Source organism: Homo sapiens, chromosome 11 (genome assembly GCF_000001405.40).
Source record: "Homo sapiens chromosome 11, GRCh38.p14 Primary Assembly".
NCBI classification, from domain to species: domain Eukaryota; kingdom Metazoa; phylum Chordata; class Mammalia; order Primates; family Hominidae; genus Homo; species Homo sapiens.
Window position 1 is genome coordinate 87462522 of NC_000011.10, and position 17683 is coordinate 87480204.

General features: G+C 41.2%; 1 long non-coding RNA gene across 3 annotated transcripts in view, besides 1 other annotated feature; it reads left to right on the forward strand.

Annotated features, from left to right (window-relative positions):
- LOC107984361 (uncharacterized) overlaps positions 1 to 17683 on the forward strand; it is a 552293-nt gene that overhangs the window by 102769 nt on the left and 431841 nt on the right. The window lies entirely within an intron of this gene.
- Positions 1094 to 1183: a silencer, noted in NCBI's record as "silent region_3832". NCBI's record gives its function as "represses an Ori minimal core promoter by ATAC-STARR-seq in GM12878 lymphoblastoid cells {active_cell/tissue: GM12878}" and the evidence as "EXISTENCE:reporter gene assay evidence [ECO:0000049][PMID:35858748]".

Genomic DNA, 17683 nt, shown 5'->3' on the forward strand with positions numbered 1-17683 from the left:
AAGTCAAACTGTAAATTATCTGAAGAGATTTATTCTGAGCCAAATATGAATGACCATGGCCTGTGACACAGCCCTCAGGAGGTCCTGAGAACATGTGCTCAAGGTGACTGGGATGCAGCTTGGTTTTGTACATTTTAAGGAGGCATGAGACTTCAATCAAGTACATTTAAGAAACACATTGGTTTGGTCCAGAAAGGTGGGATAACTTGAAGTGGGAGCTTCCAGCTTATAGGTATATTTAAAAGTTTTCTAGTTGACAACTGGTTCAGTTTATCTAAAGACCTGGGATCTATAGAAAGAATATTTGGGTTAAGATAAAGGATTGTGGAGACCAAAGTTCTTATTTGCAGAGGAAACCTTCAGGTAGTAGGCTTCAGAAAGAATAGGCTGTAAAATGTTTCTTTATCAGACTTAAAGTCGGTTGATGTTAATGCCAGAGAGGTATAATGAGGCATGTCTGACCCCCACTTCCCATCATGGCCTGAACCAGTCTTTCAGGTTAAATTTTAAGGGTGCCCTGGCTGACGAGGAAGTCCATTCAGATGGTTAGGGGACCTTAGAATTTTACTTTTGGCTTACATTTGGTTTACATGTATGTGTCTTTCTAGGTTGGAATTGTGGCTTATTCACTTTTGTATCAATACTGCTATGCATATTTATGTTCGTATGTATATGTACAGGTATATGTCTCCAGAAGTATGGTAGTTTGAGATACTTAAATGCTTGTTAAAAAACACAAAAACACGTTTGTTGCTTCAACAAGGCTCTCTCTTTTGATTCTTTACACATAAACTCTAAGGTAGACAGAACAAGGGTAACACATTCCTTTGAAAAGATAACCAACAACAAAAGTGACAGCGAAATAGAAGAAGTGATTTGTTTAATGTCTTCAGGCCACAAAGAGACACAGGCAGAACCAGAACTCAAATCTCTGCATTGGGCCATTCTCCGTGACCACTTCTTATTACAGTGGCTTGTCCTCTGGTTATTTCCATTGTCCTTCCAGACAACTGTGGTCATGGGAAACTGAATCTGGGCATGGCCATAGAACCTGAAAGGTATATAATTTCTCACTAGCAAAGAGTCTAGTCCATCTGGGAGACATTTGCATCACACTAGCACCAGGGAACTTTTTACCAAAGTGAAGCATGGGTTTTCTCCATTATGAGCCAGTAGGTGTCACAATTTACCCAAGATGAGCACAACCAGGTCTGTATGGCAGCCTCTGACATGTCCAAGGTATTCTACCTGAAGGGCTGATGTGGACTGTCCTCTCATCCTTCATTGATTATCTGGTCAACTGGCAGATGGTTGACCCCCTCCACCCATCCTGAGAGGTATGGCAGGTGGGGACAAATTATTTCAAAGCTTTGGTCAATTCAATTTCTTTCTTTTTTTTTTTTTCGTAGCTCCCGTATTTATTTATTTATTTATTTATTGCTTTTTTTTTTTCCTTTTTTTTAAATTATACTTTAAATTTTAGGGTACATGTGCGGACAAAAAACCAAACACCGCATGTTCTCACTCATAGGTGGGAATTGAACCATGAGAACACATGGACACAGGAAGGGGAATTCAATTTCTTTTCTCTTTGGCCAGGGACCTTGTGGAGCTTCTGAGGCTACCATCTGCACTGTGGTTCCTGTCTTTGTTTTCTCTATTCCCTGGATGCTTCTTCTACCCACCTCTAAGGTAGCTCCTGGGTGACCTTGGCTCTCCAGCTTTTTTGTTCTCCTGACTGCCAGGGTCAAAGTGAAGCCCTGGTGGCTGCTCTGCATCTGCCTTGCAGAGTTTTTTTTTTTTTTTTTTTTTAATATATTGATTATAAAACTCTGTATCCCTTATTTCCAAGGTTTCCCTGGACTAGACATGCTTTTCTGCCTGCCCATCACCATTGCCAAATGGGGCAACTAAATTTGTGTCACATGACTCTCTTTTCTCTCCTGGCCATTCCTGATCGCATCAGAAAAGGTATCTCAGGGAGATGGTGGGGATGCACCCAGCAAAGGAAGGATGGAAGAGATTCAGGCAGGCTGAAAGAAGGATGGGGGAAGAGAATGAGGGAAGACAGGGAATGGAGGAAAGAGTGGTTGGGGATAGGACACTTATGACTCATATGGAGTATAACCAACTGGCTGGACTCTCATTGACTGGGAGTTTAACCTCAGTGTGCAGGTGGTCGGGGTAGAAGAAACATTGCAGAGGCCTCAAAATCCAGTCTGGATGCATATTCTCAGGCCAAATCCCACTCTAAATATGAATAATTCAATGGTATAGATTAGTACTAAGTATATTTTGAGGAGAAGACACATGGGGAGGGTGGGGAGGATAGAACCAATATTTAGTAAATACTGTAGACTCCTGTAGTCCCTTTATTTACATCGCTCACACACAGCAGTTTAGGAATGCACTTGATAGCAAGGAACAGAAAACTCAACTTGAAGTGGCTTATATAAAGAGACACTATTCTTTTCACATAACAAGAAATCTGGAGTTCGATGCCTTCAGCATTGCTTCAGTGTCTTGATGATGTCAGTACAGGTGACTCTGAGAGCCTCTTGGCCACAAGAGCGCTCCTGCAGCTCCAGATAACATCTTTGGTCAAAGCAGGGAGAAAAGAGTAGGAGAACCAGTTGGCCTCATCTTTCCATTTTTTCAGGGAAGCAGAAACACTTCCAGGAAACTTTTTTCAGACTTCTGCTTATATAACATTGCCCATAGCTGAGTTAACTGGCCATCCCTGGCTGAAGGGGAGACCAGGAAAATAAGTATTAAGTTTTTCCAGCCTCTAAAGTGAAAGGTGCCACAGGATAATAAAATTGAGAATGGCAACCAACAAGGTCTGCCACAATTTCTTATTTTTTTAAAAGTCTCACACTAAAACTAGACAGATGTTAATATTATTTTACTATTACAGGTAAGAAAAGGGAGGTTTCATTAAGGAAATAAATTAATCAAGGTGAAACAACTAATATATTGGAGAGTTGGAATTTAAATCTTGGTCATTTTGATTCTAAAGTCTTTGTCCTTCATGTGAGCCCTGGGAGGCTCAACCCTGACCTTGGACATGTACATCTCCAGGCTGTGTGTGGGGAGCTGTGTCTGCCAGCCTTAAAAGCAGGCTCCTGAAAAATCCTGTAAGTGTGAGAGAGAAAATGTTGGAGCCTCAGAAAATTACTTGCTTCTATTTAGGAAGCCCGGGTTTCCTGTGGTGTTGCTGGGTGGAGGAGGTGGATAGAGAAGGTGTGGAGAGAGAAATGCAGAAAATTAAGCCCTCACTCTTTGTTCTAAATGGTTCCTAAATAGGGTTGGATATGCAGTTCTGGGAAACATATATTTTATTGGCGAGAGAACAAAGAGCCTGGAAATGTAATATGTTAGGCTGGAGGAATTGCTCTATGAAAAATACCGCAGGACACTCAGGCTCTCTGATGTTTCTCAGATGGGCAGCTGACAGGCTCCAATTTATAAAGGAGCAAATATAGGAAATAAAAGGCTTAGTTAAGTTTCACTGAATCACATTTCCCATGGAGCCGGAAATGACAAGTAGTGATTTCCTATCAATCACACCTCAGGTGACTATTTTAAAAGCAAACTGTCCCTGTTACTATTAAAAGAAAAACAAAAAAAGAAAAAAACAAAAAAAAAAAGAAGGAAAGAACATTTCTTTCTGGATGTGGGTTTTTGCCCTTAACCTAACTCTGCACATGGCTATTTGGAAGACTTTAGATGTGGAACTACCAGGTCCTGGGAGGAAAGTAGGTAGAGGAAACTTTGGCTTAAGTTCAGTTGAGCCTTCTGGCTCCTGGAGGGAGGTTGTTGGAGACGTTCAGCCTCTTGTGTTTGGCAGGGAAACAAAACAGCTCTTGGACCTCAGCTAACACAGAAATGATGACACTGGCTTAGGCAATCCCCTGTCTGTGCAGTCTTTGTAGAGATGATAGAGAACAGATTCCTTTTTCCTTGGCCCCACTCCTTCTCTGTGGAAGACAACTCTGGGATCTGACAGATCTCGGGATGATTTTCAATTCTCCTTCTCATGAGTGGCATTTGATGTAACCAGCTCCAGGCTCTCTGTCTCTATTAAGTTTCAACAGTTTTGTTGGATGAACAGTGACTTTGAGATTCCGGAGGCCTTTCACAGGCCAGGGAAGTACCAGGAAAAGTGAATTCTAGAGAAAAAGGTATTAAAGAAATTGATACCTTTATTAATAAAGGTATTAAGGAAATTAAACAAGTCAGAGAAACTCTTCAAAGACCTCTTGAACATGTTATATCTTTTAGTCTTGCACAGTTGGCCCTTTCCAGTTTGGCTCCAGTCACATATGCTGCTGCTCTTTCTACAATTGTCCTATATTACAACTGGATGAGTGTATGCTTTGTTTCCTCAGAGCCTGTTATGATTTTCATCCTTCTGGGGTTTTGCTTTTCCTTCTGCTTGGAGTTCTCTTATCCCCATGCTTTTCTTGATATACACATGTGACACTCAACTCAAATATCACTCCCTGGGGAAGTCTTTATGCCGGGAGTCAGTCTTCCTTGTGGCTACAGCATGGCCTCAATTTTGACACTTCTCATGAGATAAAGCAGTGGTTCTCAAACATTGCCCTCCTCAGATTACCTGGGGGATTGTTTACAATACATATTCCTGGGCTCCAACCCCAGAACTTCTGACCTAGCACATCTAGGGTGAGACCTAGAGGTCTGCATTTTAAGCAGGAACCTGGGAGATTCTTAGTTGCTTTTATACTCAGTCCCCTTGCTTCATCATATGATATGGGGAGTCACCTGATAATAAAATGAAAAGCTCTGTGGTAGAACAATTATTTGTTTTGATGGGTCTATTTTCCCTGCAATTATACTAGTTTCTTGGGGCACAGATTAAGTCTTTAGAGCTGAGCACAGGACATGGCAAATAGCACAATTCCATGGAGCAGGGAGAAAGGTTATCACTTTATGAATTTTACGGACCCTCTTTTTACTGATAAAGTGATGGAGGCCAATGACACGCAGCTGGCACTCAGATCTGGGGTGAGTCTGAGAGTTGTGGAGTAAGACCTGTATTTCATATGTAAAGACAAAGGAGAACAGTCATGGAAGATAAACATTTGATGGGGTATTTTAGAATTTATGTTTTCGGTTCCATTTATGATCCTATGAGGTTTTAGGCTGGAATCTGTGTTAGCTATTTCCACCCCCATATCCTTAGGCATGTAGTAGCTATATTTTAGAAGTCTGCTAAGAGCATGCTCCTTTCTTTGGAAGTGCCATAATTGACCTTGCACTGAATATCAGATTATCTCTTCAGAACTTGAACAAAGAGCTCCAGATATTGTCAGATGGTAATGGGCAGAGGAGATGTACAGTCGTGTTGCAACTACAGTCAACACTATAGCAACACAGAGCTCCATGTAAATTGATGCTATGAGGAAGGGCCTTAGAGAGAAAGTGTGTGTGTGTGTGTGTGAGACAGAGAGAGAGAGAGAGAGAGAGAGAGAGAGAGAGAGAGAGAGAGGAAATGTAGTAAATTTTCTTAGAGAGAGAAAGAGAGGAAATGCAGTAAATTTTCTAGCAGAGACAAGAAGCTATGTGGTTCCACACCCCCATGATTTAATTACCTTCTACTGAGTTCCTCCCATGACATATGGGGATTATGGGAGCTACAATTCAAGAAGAGATTTGGGTGGGGACACAGTCAAACCATATCAGTAGCCATATGAAAAAGAAAATAAAATCACATACAATTACTCAGAAAAAAAAAAAAAAGAAGCTATGTGGTTCCAGGGAAGAGACAGAGCTAGATAGGCAAAGGGGCCAGCAGTCCACAGGTTTTCCAGTTTTTACGTGGCCTATCTGTATTTCTTGTCATTGCATTCTATGAAATACACCTGATTCCTCATAATCAGCTCTCCTTATCTTATGCTAGCTTGAATCTATACCTTGAAACCCAAGACAGTGAGCGAATGAAAGACCCACACACAATCTTAGTATAAATAAGGGCACCTGCTGCCCCGGTTTCTCCTTGCCATTGAAAGGTCCCACAACAAGATGCCATCTTGCATTTAACTTTCATAACTCCTGACTTGTTTTCTAATCAACTCTGGGCTAAAATTGTTCTTTCCTCCTTTGCTGGTTTGTATGTTAACATCTAGCCTTAGTCTCTAGTGAGAATATACTGAGACAAGTTCATAATAAAAAAAACTCAAATTCATTTGCATTCCAAGGCTCACAATACCCACAGATTTTCTGCCTTTAAGCAGAATTTCTGTCTGCAGCAGCCAAGCCCAACAAGCAAGACCATCTTAACAGAGCTTCAAGTGGCATAATCCAGTGAAATACAGGTTCTGAGTACAGTTCTCTTATTGCACTAACTGGCCTAAAAGCAGAAGTCACATCAATTATAGGCAGAATTGAACCTATGGAAGTCAGCTAGGAAACTGTGGACTGACTTGGGTAAATGTTACATTGACCTCTGTCAGCACTATCAACTGATCCATCAATTAATTGGCAATCCATCAAATCTACACAAGTTCACTGACTGAGCTACACATCGGTAAAATATTATGCCTGGAAACCAGAGGTGCTAAGGGGGAAACTAGTTTTAGGGTCAGACATACCCACCTTGAAGCCTACTCTACTACTTTTTTCTGGCAGCGTTTGAGCTAATTTACTTAACTTCTCTGAGCCTCACTTTCTTGGTCTGTAAAATGAGGTCAATAGTAAATCCTCAGTATGGGTTTCCCACCCTGCACCATGCACCCATCAATATCTAAGGCTACATAAGAGAGCAAAGTTGAGTCTCTCATACTTTCTCATTTAAATTTATTTTTCTGGCCGAACGTGATGGCTCACGCCTGTAATCCCAGTACTTTGGGAGGCTGAGGTGGGCCAGTTGCCTGAGCTCAGGAGTTTGAGACCAGCCTGGGCCACATGGCAAAACTCTGTCTCTACAAAAAATTTAAAAATTAGCCAGGTGTGGTGGCACATGCTTGTGGTCTCAACTACTTGGGAGGCTGAGATGGGAGGATTCCTTGAATCCAGAAGGTCGAGGCTGAAGTGAGCTACAATCACACCATTGCCCTCCGGCCTGGGCAATAGAGTGAGACTCTGTCTAAACATATATGTATTTCCAAATAGCTGCCTACCAACAGGCCAGTTAACACTTGGACCAGGTTTGGCATACTGACACTAAGTGGTTGTACCCCTGCAGTAAGTTGATGTCTGCTAGCCTGAAGTTAGAAAATCTGGATTCTAGTGCTACATTTGAACCTCTCCTTCACCCCCTGTCAACTATGAAAGAACAGAATCATTCCTTCTCACACGTTGTTCTGAAGATTGCATGAGAAAATGATTGGGAACAAAAGATTAGGCAATGTGTAGGGCTTTCACAAGAGAAGGCTGATGGTGGAAATGACTCTGTAGTTAACCTGAAGCCAAGTGAGCTGCCGTTGCAGGGAGGTAGGGCCTGAATCTGGCAGCCATCAGCCATACTCCACTAACCTGGGGGAAGCTGAGGATGAATTAATGCAGAGTAGGGTGGCAGAATTATCTATTGAATAATTAGTACTTCCTTTCATAGTGTCTTGTAGGACCTTGCTGCTCAGAGTGTTGGTGAAACCTTGTCTGGAATTTTTGACTCACAGAATTTATTGGCGTGATAAAATGGGATATTTAAGCTTCTAAATTTTGGATTAATTTGTAGATAGCAATAGTAACTGGAACAAATAATAGGGTGCAGTGTGGACATCACCCGGGAGCTCATTAGAAATGAAGAAGCTCAGGCTTCACCCAAGACCCACTGAATATAAATCTGCATTTTAACAAGATCCCCAGGTGATGCATATGTGCACTGAAATTAGAAAAGCACTAAAATCTAGTAGAGAACATAGGAGATTGGCTTTTAGCTGGCTTCTAATTAGAATAACGATGCAAATTGCAAAACTGACCAAAGTTCCTTTTGTCAGTTGGCTAGGATGAGGAAAATAAGAAAAACCCCTTTTAAAATTTTTTTTTAGTTCTCTTTTGCAAGGCATTTCCTTCAGCTGTTTTTTATTTATACAAAAAAATTAGGTTTTGGAGGGAAGTTAATAGATTTGTTTCATTAGCTCAATTGATAGCAACTGGGTCATCAGAACTGGGACTAAGGAAGAGTGGTAGGGGAGAAAGGCAACTAACACTTATGGGAGGAGTTCTATTTTGTTGTTGATGTTATAGATTAGTCGATTCCTCACAAAAGCTCTATAAGAAGTCTTATTTTCACTGTTTTACAGATCAGAAATAGGCTCATAAAGGTTGAATAGGTTGCTAACTTCATGCAAAGGGTAGAGCTAGAATTTAAATGCAGGCCTGTTTGATTTTAAACATTATACCACACTATTTGTTTCAGTTACTGATAAGGTTTTGCTGTGTCCCCACCTAAATCTCATCTTGAATTGTAGCTCCCATAATTCTCACGTGTTGTGGGAAGGACCTGGTGGGAGATAATTGAATCACAGGGGTGGTTTCCCCAGTACTGTTCTCGTGGTGGTGAATAAGTCTCACGAGATCTGATGGTTTTATAAGGGGAAACCGCTTTCCCTTGGCCCTCATTCTCTCTCTTGCCTGTTGTCGTATAAGGTGTGTCTTTCACTTTCTGCCATGATTGTAAGGCCTTCTCCAGCCGTATGGACCTGTGCGTCCATTAAACATCTTATTCTTTATAAATTACCCAGTCTCAGGTATGTCTTTATCAGCAGCATGAAAACAGACTAATATAGTTACTAGTGCTGCTTACAAATTAATACAAAACTTAGAAGCTTAAAACAACCATTTTATTATGCCAATAAGTTCTATGGGTGAGGAATTCCAGACCAGGCACAGTGGGGAGGGCCTTGTCTTGCCTCCTAATGGATGGGGTGAGTTTATGGCTGGAGCTGGACTCATAGGAAGGCACCTTCACTTACATGTGAGTCAGTTGACACCAACCATCAGTTTGGACCTTAGCTGGTGCTTCTCCCAGAATACCTACACATGGCCTCTCCATGTGACCTGGACTTTTAGCAGCATGGCGGCCTCAAGGAAGTTGGACTTTTTCATGGTGTCTCAACGTTCTAAATGTGAGTATCCAAGTGAATAAGACAAAAACTTTATCACCTTTTCTGACTAAGCCTTAAAAGTCTTATAGTTCCTGTTCTACTACATTCTATTGGAGTTACAGGTTAAGTAACTACAAATTTGCCCAAATTCAAGGGGAGGTGACAAAGATCCCACTTCTGATGGGAGGATCATCCAAGGCCATGTAATTATTTTTCTTTAATTTCCTTAGCGTTCGATGGGATACCTTTGGGGTGTACTTTGATGGGAGATGGTAGGTCATTTGAGTCAAAATCTTCGCTTTACTGTTGCATAGGACCAGCTATATGTAGTTGTAGAGCAGCAGATGCAACCACAGGCCAGGCCACATCTGAGGGCACCAACTCATTTGTTGACATCTTCCGGTTATCTTTGTAGGCCTTGCCAAAGTAAGTAGAACTTTCAAGCTCTAGTAAGCAGGAACTGGAAATCCCAGTTAAAGCTTCTAATGGAGATTGAAAAAAGCAAGGTGGAGTCCTTGTGTCTTCTGGAGGAAAGTTTAATGTGTGGGAGGTGGACATTGGGTTGGTGATTTCTGGCACAAATGTTGAAAGGTACTCAAATTTCTCCATTATTTCCAGGGTTCTCTTGCTTTTTTCACTTTCTTGACCTGATTTACTTTGACAAGACAGACTACTGTTTTCCAAGATATTTTGTTTCTCAGTGTATTTGACTTAAATGTCAAGAGGAAATAGAGGAGATAATGTGGGAACTTTTAGGGAATCTGAGGGGAAAAAGCCCTAGATGGGTTTAAAAATCAAGTCTCCGTAGCTTGATTCTGATGGATTCCAGCTTGGAGGCTGACCCAAGCTGGGATGAAAAAGCATCTCCTAAATGGTTCAGAGTCTGGAGAGAAGTATCTCATCTAACATCATTTAATGTCGTAAAGATCATTGCTGTCCTACTCATATGAGAATAATCCATTGCTTAAGAACAGAACAGGGAAAACCACAAGCAGAGCTGACAATAATAGTTGTAAAATGATGTAAACTGGGGAGCAGCTCCTATGTGCCACTCTCTACCTGGATATTCATTCCGCAGCTACTAAGATATTTCCCACTACATGAAGAGGGTCATACAGCAGGTTGGTCAGATGACTGAATGACAATATAGAATTTGGGTTAGATGTAACGGCGTCTGTGATACAAATTGTCAAACTGCAGATATAAGTAAACGCCTAATCTCAAAATCTGTTTCTCTATCTCACTCCCACTGAAAATCATCACGCTGAAGTCAAACAATTAACAGAGTCATCCTGTTTCCATCATAGAGTTTTCTAACTTATGATGCTACGATACCCCAGGGACTGATTTTAAGCTGCCATCCAAAGGGGAGAAAGGAAAGTAAACTTTATTCCCCATATACTAGGTTCTATGGCTTTGCAGGCGGGAAAATGAGCAAGAACAGGGTGGGTACAGAATTCAGTGAGAGCTTACTGGCCCCAACGTAAGGCAGGAAGATCAAGCAGGGGGAGTGAGCTGACCCATGAATGATGAGGTTGAAAAGATAGTGGCCATCAAAGCCTGTGTCTGCCACACAATTTTGCCCCAAAGGAGCATGTTCTGAATTACAAAAGACTTGAAATATTCTGACACAGCAGCCACAGGAAACTGCAGCAGAGGCAAAATGGTCTTCTAAGCCTCCTTGATGCAGATGCTCTGCTCTGGCGAGCTGCCCATTGGCCTCTGTGCTGTTGGAGATGATTTCCCTGCATAAAGTTGCTCTAGTTGTCAAAAATGAGCAAGAGGGTGCTGCTAACTTTGAAGTGAGTGTGGCATAAGTGCTTGCTGAGGTAATGGTGAATCACAGCTTTGGATTTCAGGGACAGGGAGTGGGTGCTGTTCTTAGCATTAGCTCAAGATGAAATTGGACAAGGTCTCCAATTATCCTGGGCTCCTTATTTTTTCACTTTTCAGGATACAGAGAAGTGATGATTGGTCTGTTTTCTTCAAGTAGTGAGTAACATATTCATCTACATAGTGGTTACCCTCAAAGTGGTCAGGAACTTTTTTGGGGACATGGGGAACACAAGTTGAAAATCTTATATAGCCTTTCTGATTCTAGTTTTTTTTTTTTTTTTTTTTTCCTGTAGGTATAGCATTATAATACGTTCAGCATTTTTCTTTTTCTGGTCTCAGGTGTCCTTTTCCATGAGTTGGGACATACTAGAGGTCCTGGACTTTCTAAGTGGGATTCCAGTGAGCTATTGCATCAGGCTGAGAGGCCACGATAGAGCGTGGCATCCCCTGCCACAGATGGCTGCCAGCCTCCTAGAATTTCTTGCCATAAGGGGAAAGTGAGAGTGTTGATGGTTGAACATAGATTCCTGCCCACTCACTATGGATGGAATTTGATCTGATTACATTCAATTCAAGGTCATCAGATCCCTTCATGTGCTCTCCTGTTCCATCCCAACTCAGCCCATCCCCTTCCATTCCATCTGTCTCAAATTTTGTAAGTTCCATTTCATTTATGGAGATATAGAATCCTATTCTGCTTGAGGAGCTCCCTCTGTGGACAACACCCTGCTAGCCATCTCAGGGCAGTCATAGGAAACCCGTTGTAAAAGTGACTTAGGAGATTTATCAAGCTGCCCTCAATTTTACCCATTCCAAGGCCCTGCTGTTGCTATTCCTGGTCTTCCTCTTGAATGCACCCTCTGCACTTCTCCTCTGAGGCATGTGAGGAGGAAGGAGCATCTGGAGGAAGACTGGAATCTTGGGCCCTGACTAGTTCTTATTTATCTCTGAATCTCAATTTGTGTGCCCAATATGAGGCACATATTAGGTTGGTGCAAACTTAATCGCGGTTTTTGCCATTAAAAATAATTAAAAGTAATGGCAAAAACCACAGTTACATTTGCACCAACCTAATATATATTACACATCTTTGTTAATTGCCGTCCATATTAGTTGAATAAATAATAAGTTCTGTGGCCATGGGGCAAGACACTTGCCCTCTCTGGGTTTGTTTCCCTCTCTTGCAGAACAGGCAATTGACTAGGTCAGTGGTTCTCAGAGTCTGGTAGGAAATCTGATTCGGGAAGTCAGTCTCAGTAAAATCAGATTCTGAGAGTCAGAATAGCAGTGATTAAGAGCATTCCAGTTGCAGCTCTACCACTTACTAGCTCTGTGATCTCAGACAAGTGACTTAGCTTCTCTAATCTTAGTTTCCTCATGTGTAAAAGGGATGTAATACCAATGTCATATGGTTTCTATGGGAGTTAAATGAGTAATACATGCAAAGCGTTCCCTCCAGTGCCTGGCATATAAATGGTATCATGTGAGTGTTGGCCATTATCAATTGAGTGGGCCTCTATTGTACATCAAGAGCTGGCCATTTGGTGTGAAGAAAATAAAGTTGACTAGAATACTTTCCCTGTCATCAAGAAGTTTATAATCATCCTGGCTAACACGGTGAAACCCCATCTCTACTGAAAATACAAAAAATTGGCCAGGCGTGGTGGAGGGCACCTGTAGTTCCAGCTACTCTGGAGGCTGAGGCAGGAGAATGGAGTGAACCCGGGAGGCGGAGCTTGCAGTGAGCCGAGATTGCGCCACTGCACTCCAGCCTGGGCGACAGGTGAGACTCCGTCTTAAAGAAAAAAAAAGTTTGTAATCAGTGAAAAGATAGGTCATAAACTTTGTGAAATGTAGATATATGCATAGGAAAAAACAAAGTATAGTAATATATTATTGGGAGCCATCTGTATAGTAGCACTATTGATACAGTTTTTTAAAATTTATATTCTGAATTTTTACGTTTTCTAAAATGAGCTTCTATTAAATCTTTGCTTAAGGACAAATAAACATTCATAACAGAATGGTAGAGTTTAACATGGGAGATACTTGGAATTATCCAAAAAACTCAAGGTGACTCTTTCCTTTTGTACTATCCCCTTTCATTCAGGATAAAGCAAAGAAAAAACATTGACATGATAAAGCACTTCAGGGTCTGCTCTTCAGCTTCATTTCTTTCCATTTCCCCTCTCACACTCTGTGGTGCAGCCATTCTGAATTATTTTCTGTTCTCCAAAACAGGTTAAGTCTTAAAGTTCTGCTCAGTCGTTCAATCAACCAATATTTATTGAGGACTTACAATGACCCCTTGCGAGAAGAGCAAAATGGAGCAGGGAGCTGACTACGGGAGATTTCCTTAGAGGATAGTTTGTGATGAACTCCTTTGCCTAAGAAAAAGTAGAAGCCATATCAGATATTTGATTTATAGTATACTGTTTTCAGAATGAATAGAAATAATTTTGGTCAATGAGAATTGTACACAAAAACATGGTAATTCTCAAGTATTACATGTTGTTAGGTAAGCAAGATAAAGTTATTGAGAGTAAAATTATTCCTCCATTTTCTCTATGGCTTTTGGGATGAATTTCCTCTACTTCTATAGCTGCACAGGAGAGGGCTGGCTTCTGGTGAGTGTGCTGTTGGGAGGTGTTGAGAAGCTTCCACCTGCAGGGTAAATGCCACGACTAAAAACAGATCATTTTCTAGACTAAGGGCTGCAGAAGAAAAGAAATAGGTAGTTAGTACATTCCCCTTCTTTGTATCCTAGATTCAGCAAGCAGACTTCTTTTTCTTTTATTGACAACTAGTAAATACAGTGTATTAATTGAGAATCTGTTATATACCAGGAAGTGGTGATGAATAAAGGAGATAGAAACCCTGTCCTCAATAATAATAAATATGTATTAATATTCATTACATGATGGGCACTAAATACTTTGCATGTATTAACTCACATAATCCTTATAATAACCTCGGAAGGAAGGTACACTCATCATCTCCATTTTAGAGATATAAAAATAGAGGCATTGAGAAAACAAATACTTGCCTAAGCTGTCACAACCACTAAACAGGAATGGAGGTGTTGCTCGGATTTGAATTCAGTCTTCCTGTCTCTAGAGCCCAAGTCTTAAGCACTTATTATACTATACCATAGCACACATGCATCCTTTTGGAGAACAGCCTCTAGTGAGGCTGCTGAGATCCCCTTGTTGACATGAACAATTCAGTTAAAACACATAGGTAGGATAGAGAGGATTAAAATAGGCTACTAAGCATCCAACAGGTAATTTATAAACAACCTTGTAGCACTTTCCTTTTCTCTTCTGAGACTTTGCAAAGGCTGTCCCACTGCCTGAATAGCCTTTCTTTCTTCCCATAGATTGATACACTTAAAAATACTTATATATAATTTACATAAGATGATACACCCACATCTTAAGTATATAGTTAAATGAGCTTTGACAAATGAATATATTGGTGTAGCCACTACCCTAATCAAGAACATTTTTGTTGCCTAGAAAAGTCCTCTGTACTCACTACCCCAACCCTTGACTCTTTCTGCCCAGCTGGATCTGATTTCTGTTAACATAGCTTAGTCTTGTTTGTGTTCTAGAATTACTGAAATCATACAGTATGTACTCTTTTGTTTTGGCTTCTTTCATTCACCATAATGTTTTTGAGATTTATTCATAATGTGGTATTTCTTCTGTTTTCTTTTGGTTTTTGTTTTGTTACTGAGTCCATTGCATGAATTTACCATACTTTTAACATTGTTTTACCTGTTGAAAGAGGTATCTGGAGTGTTACCAGTTTTTGGCTAATATGAATAAAGGTTCTATAAAAATGTTTGTACTTTTTGTGAACACATGGCTTTATTCCTTTTGAGTAAATACCTGGGAGGAGAATTGCTGGGTCATCCAACGGGTGTTTACCTGTTTTCTAAAGTAGTTGCATCTTTTTGCATTCCCACCAGTGGTCTAGGAGATTTCCAGTGGCTCCATTTCATCACCAACATTTTGCATTGTTAGTGTTTAATTTTAATGGTTCTAGTGTCTGTGAAGTGATATCTCATCGTGGTTTTGATTTGCATTTCCCTGATGACTAATGGTGTTAAATATATTTTCATGTGTTTCTAGGCCATTCACATATCTTCTGAGAAATCTGTGCTTGAATCTTTTGGCTACTTTTTAATTTGTCTCACTTTAAAATATTAAGTTTTAGGAGTTCTTTATATATTCTGAATTTAAGTTTTTTTAAAAAACTTATTACTCTTGAAAAACATTTCAACATTCTAAACATACAAAAATAAATAGAATGTTGCAAATTATGTTTAAGTGCAGAAGGTTCTTGAACTTTCATTGATGCAGGGGTTCTTCACTTTGCTGACAAGAGTTCTACAGTTTGTTAAAAACAGTTTAGAAACTATTGCACTTAACTAAAAAAAAAAAATCTAAACACTGCTCATGTCAGCTGACCCCGCTTTGTCCAAAGCTAAGAATGGCAACAGAATGCTATGTCACTATATACAGAAACAAGCCAATCTGAAGCTAAATAGATGCACTGCAGAGTCAACAGGTCCAACCTCACAGTGCATGCCCTGAGCTTGGGTGCCTCCAAAAGGCACCTTTCCCCACAGCCTCAACACCAAGCAAGGAGCATCCGTAGTTTGCCTTTGTTGTTCTGTTCTTTTTAGAAACTATAAATACATACAGTTGATAACTCAGTGTTTCTCGCTCATAACCATATAATTAACACCACCTTGCAAATAAAAATGCCAGAAATATCTTTAAATGCCTTGTCACGCCAACAGCAAAGTACACAGAATGAGGAAAATACAAAAGTGCCTTTTCATTTTAAAAATACTTGGAAATATGTACAACTCTTGTGCAGTTTCACAGTGCTCCAGACACCCGTGGCCACTTCATATAAACCACTGACAATTTCTAGAGTACTTTGAGAGACTACAGTATGATTGTGATTAAATTTGTCATGGGAGGGACTTGGTGGGAGATAATGGATTATGGGAGTGGGTCTCTCCTGTGCTATTCTCATGATAGTGAATAAGTCTCATGAGATCTGATGGTTTTATCAAGGGGAATTCCCCTATACAAGCTCCCTCTTGCCTGTTGCCATGTAATATATGCCTTTCTCCTCCTTTGCCTGCCACCATGATTGTGAGGTCTCCCCAGTCATGTGAAACTGTGAGCCCATTAAACCTCTTTTACTTTATAAATTACCCAGTCCCTGGTATGTCTTTATTAGCAGCATGAGAACTAATACAGTAAATTAGTACCAGGTAGTGGGACGCTGCTGTAAAGATATCTGAAAATGTGGAAGCAACTTTGGAACTCGGTAACAGGTAGAGGTTGGAATAGTTTGGAGGGCTCAGGTGAAGATAGGAAAATGTGGGAAGTCTGAAACTTCCTAGAGACTTGGTGGGTTCAGAAGACAGGAAGATGTGGGAAAGTTTGGAACTTCCTAGAGACTTGTTAAATGGCTTTGACTAAAATGCTGATAGTGATATGGACAATAAGGTCCAGGCTGAGGTGGTCTCAGATGGAGATGATGAGCTTGTTGGGAACCAGAGTAAAGGTCACTCTTTCTATGCAAAGAGACTGGTGACATTTTGCCCCTGCCCTAGAGATGTGTGGAACTTTGAACTAGAGAGAGATGATTTAGAGTATCTGGTGGAAGAAATTTCTAAGTGGCAAAGTGTTCAAGAGGAAGCAGAGTATAAAAGTTTGAAAAATTTGCAGGCTGATGATGCAGCAGAAAAGAAAAACCCATTTTCTGGGGAGACATTCAAGCCTGCTTCAGAAATTCACATAAGTAACAAGGAGCAGAACGTTAATCGTCAAGACAATGGGGAAAATGTCTCCAGGGCATGTCAGAGACCATTGCAGCAGCCCCTCCCATTGCAGGCCTGGAAGCCTAGGAGGAAAAAATGGTTTCCTGGGCCCAGGCCACCCCTGCTGTGTGCAGCCTTAGGACTTGGTGCCCTCTGTGCCAGCCATTCCAGCTGTGGCTAAAAGGGGTTTAGGTACAGCTTGGGCCATGGCTTCAGAGAGTGTAAGCTCCAAGCCTTGGCAGCTTCCATGTGATATTGAGCCTGCAGGTGCACATAAGTCAAGAATTGAGGTTTGGGAACCTCTACCTAGATTTCAGAGGATGTATGGAAACCCCTGAATGTCCAGGGAAAAGTTTGCTGCAGTGGTGGAACCCTCATGGAGAACCTCTGCTAGGGCAGTGCCAAAGGGACATGTGGGATCAGAGTCTCCACCAGGGCACTGCCCAGTGGAGCTGAGAAGAGGGCCACCATCCTGCAGACCCCAGAATGGTGGATTCCCTAACAGCTTTTCATGCACCTGGAAAAGCCGTGGACGCTCAATGCCAGCCTCTGACAGCAGCCAGGAGGGGAGCTGTACCCTGCAAAGCCATGGGGTGGAGCAGGCCAAGTCCGTGGGAGTCCACCTTTTGCATCAGCACTCCCTTGATATGAGACATGGGCTCAAAGGAGATCGTTTTGGAGCTTTAAGATGATTTGATTGCCCCACTGGATTTTGGACTTGCATGGGGACTGTAGACCCTTTGTTTTCCCCAATTTCTCCCATTTGGAATGGCTGCATTTACTGAATGCCTGTACCCCATTGTATCTAGGAAGTAACTAACTTGCTTTTGATTTTACAGGCTCATAGGCAGAAGGGACTTGCCTTATTTTGAATGAGACTTTGGACTGTGGACTTTTGAGCTTATGCTGAAATGAGTTAAGATTT